This window comes from Homo sapiens, chromosome 13, assembly GCF_000001405.40.
Source record: "Homo sapiens chromosome 13, GRCh38.p14 Primary Assembly".
Classification (NCBI taxonomy): domain Eukaryota; kingdom Metazoa; phylum Chordata; class Mammalia; order Primates; family Hominidae; genus Homo; species Homo sapiens.
This window is the reverse complement of record NC_000013.11, coordinates 45,668,941-45,671,844: the sequence shown is the minus strand read 5'-3', so window position 1 is coordinate 45,671,844 and position 2,904 is coordinate 45,668,941. Positions and strand designations below refer to the sequence as shown.

The 2,904-nt window shown below is 46.9% G+C and overlaps 1 annotated feature.

Annotated features, from left to right (window-relative positions):
* Positions 1,914-2,536: an enhancer, noted in NCBI's record as "H3K27ac-H3K4me1 hESC enhancer chr13:46243444-46244066 (GRCh37/hg19 assembly coordinates)". NCBI's record gives its function as "activates a minimal SCP1, AML or CMV promoter by ChIP-STARR-seq in naive H9 embryonic stem cells {active_cell/tissue: H9 hESC(naive)}" and the evidence as "EXISTENCE:reporter gene assay evidence [ECO:0000049][PMID:30033119]".

Genomic DNA, 2,904 nt, shown 5'->3' with positions numbered 1-2,904 from the left:
AAAAACTTAGCTGGGTGCGGTGGCAGGCACCTATAGTCCCAGCTACTTGGGAGGCTGAGACAGGAGAATCGCTTGAACCTAGGAGGCGGAGGGTGCAGTGAGCCAAGATCATACCTATTGCACTCCAGCCTGGGCGACAGAGTGAGATTCCATCTCAAAACAAAACAAAAAACAAAAAGATACAAAATTAATCTTTATTCTTGGGCTAGCTTGTCCACTTGAGCTCACACACCTAAAATCCCCTTGCTCATAGCGTATTTCATTTTATCAGATAGAGACATTCACAAGTCATCATGTTTGCCTTTTATCCTTGGCTGCCAGGAATCTCAAAGCCCAGTGTTACGCTTAAGTGCAGTAACTGTCTTTAGTGCACAGTTTTTACCACCATCCACCAACTCCCCGTCCTATATCCATTACCCAGTATTTGGCCTTTGTTCTTCTATCATCCTTGGATATACTTTTACAATAGGCCGCCCTACAGCTTTTTTGGTGAAAATACAAATAAAAGAAAAAGAGCTAAATTATCTTTAAATGACTTTGCATTTTGGAGCAGCAAAAGTCTTTGGGATACCCCTGTGTTGAGATCCTTATTGAGAAAGGCTGCTCTGGAGGCGATGCGCTTTAACAGGGTAACTAATACAGCACATCAGAAGTCATAAAACCTCTACATGTAATGTGCCCCACATGAACTGAAAGTCATCTCTGCCTCCGTTGGTGAAGTTCCCCATCTATAAAATGATGACAATGCTTGCTCCTTCTCTCTGTTACACTCGTGTTATGAGGATCAATGGGACAGCAACTATAAAGTGCTTTGAGCTCCTCAGGGGACAGTGCTCTATAACTATAACTACTATTATTGACAGCAGCAAGGAACTGCTGTAGGCTTTTCAAGAAATAGTTTCTTGTTCTCTGTGCCTACCACAGCTCTGCAGAGGTGACTGGAGCAGCCAGTGGGCTTGCATGCGGGAGCCTTCCTTTAGCTAGGGAACATACTTGCCACTAGTTCAATAAACGTCCAAAGCTCCAACACAAAAAGAGTGCTCAAAATGCAGAAAAGTTCAAAAAATGCTGAAAACAACACACTGTCACTATTGCCATTAAAGGAATATTTGACGCACCCACCAGTACATCAGTGTAAACTGGCATATTGTAGGGACAGCTGGCAGCAGGTGGCATAGGGCCCGGATCAGTACAGCTAGTCTACACAAAGATAATCCTTTTCCTAGTTAGAATATTCTTGTATAGGATTCCATTCTTTGCATTGTAAAAAAAAAAAAAAAAATGATGCCCACATTCATCAAGCTGTCTTTTTATAACCCTTTTGGACCACCTCTGGAAGCCTGAATTATCTCAAGGAAATGCCCAGGCTCATGTCCATAACTTTGCCACTCTGCCTCCTGACTGTGACTCCTCTCCTTTCTCTTATCTGAGCTGCTGCAACATCATTTTCAGCTGGCAAATTCCTCCTTTGGACAGCTCTGATTTGTCCCCAGTCTGAAATATTTCTCTTTGCAACTGACAGAATTTTGTATTTCAAAAGCATCATATCTTCTAATTCCTTCTCTAGTCCCTCTGTTTTGAATATTTTCTTCCAAGTCTTTTCTAAACCTACAGAATGCCAGGGAACTGCCAGCCAAGATGGCCGAATAGGAACAGCTCCGGTCTACAGCTCCCAGCGTGAGCGACGCAGAAGACGGGTGATTTCTGCATTTCCATGTGAGGTACCGGGTTCATCTCACTAGGGAGTGCCAGACAGTGGGTGCAGGACAGTGGGTGCAGCGCACCGTGCGTGAGCCGAAGCAGGGCGAGGCATTGCCTCACTCGGGAAGCACAAGGGGTCAGGGAGTTCCTTTTCCTAGTCAAAGAAAGGGGTGACAGATGGCACCTGGAAAATCGGGTCACTCCCACCCTAATACTGCGCTTTTCCGACAGGCTTAAAAAACGGCGCACCAGGAGATTATATCACGCACCTGCCTCGGAGGGTCCTACGCCCACGAAGTCTCACTGATTGCTAGCACAGCAGTCTGAGATCAAACTGCAAGGCGGCAGTGAGGCTGGGGGAGGGGCGCCCGCCATTGCCCAGGCTTGCTTAGGTAAACAAAGCAGCCAGGAAGCTCGAACTGGGTGGAGCCCACCACAGCTCAAGGAGGCCTGCCTGCCTCTGTAGGCTCCACCTCTGGGGGCAGGGCACAGACAAACAAAAAGACAGCAGTAACCTCTGCAGACTTAAATGTCCCTGTCTAATAGCTTTGAAGAGAGCAGTGGTTCTCCCAGCACGCAGCTGGAGATCTGAGAATGGGCAGACTGCCTCCTCAAGTGGGTCCCTGACCCCTGACCCCCGAGCAGCCTAACTGGGAGGCACCCCCCAGTAGGGGCAGACTGACACCACACAGGGCCAGGTACTCCTCTGAGACAAAACTTCCAGAGGAACGATCAGACAGCAGCATTCGCAGTTCATGAAAATCCGCTGTTCTGCAGCCACTGCTGCTGGTACCCAGGCAAACAGGGTCTGGAGTGGACCTCTAGCAAACTCCAACAGACCTGCAGCTGAGGGTCCTGTCTCTTAGAAGGAAAACTAACAAACAGAAAGGACATCCACACCAAAAACCCATCTGTACATCACCATCATCAAAGACCAAAAGTAGATAAAACCACAAAGATGGGGAAAAAACAGAGCAGAAAAACTGGAAACTCTAGAAAGCAGAGCACCTCTCCTCCTCCAAAGGAACGCAGTTCCTCACCAGCAACGGAACAAAGCTGGACGGAGAATGATTTTGATGAGTTGAGAGAAGAAGGCTTCAGACGATCAAACTACTCCGAGCTACAGGAGGAAATTCAAACCAAAGGCAAAGAAGTTAAAAACTTTGAAAAAAATTTAGACGAATGTATAACTAGAATAACCAA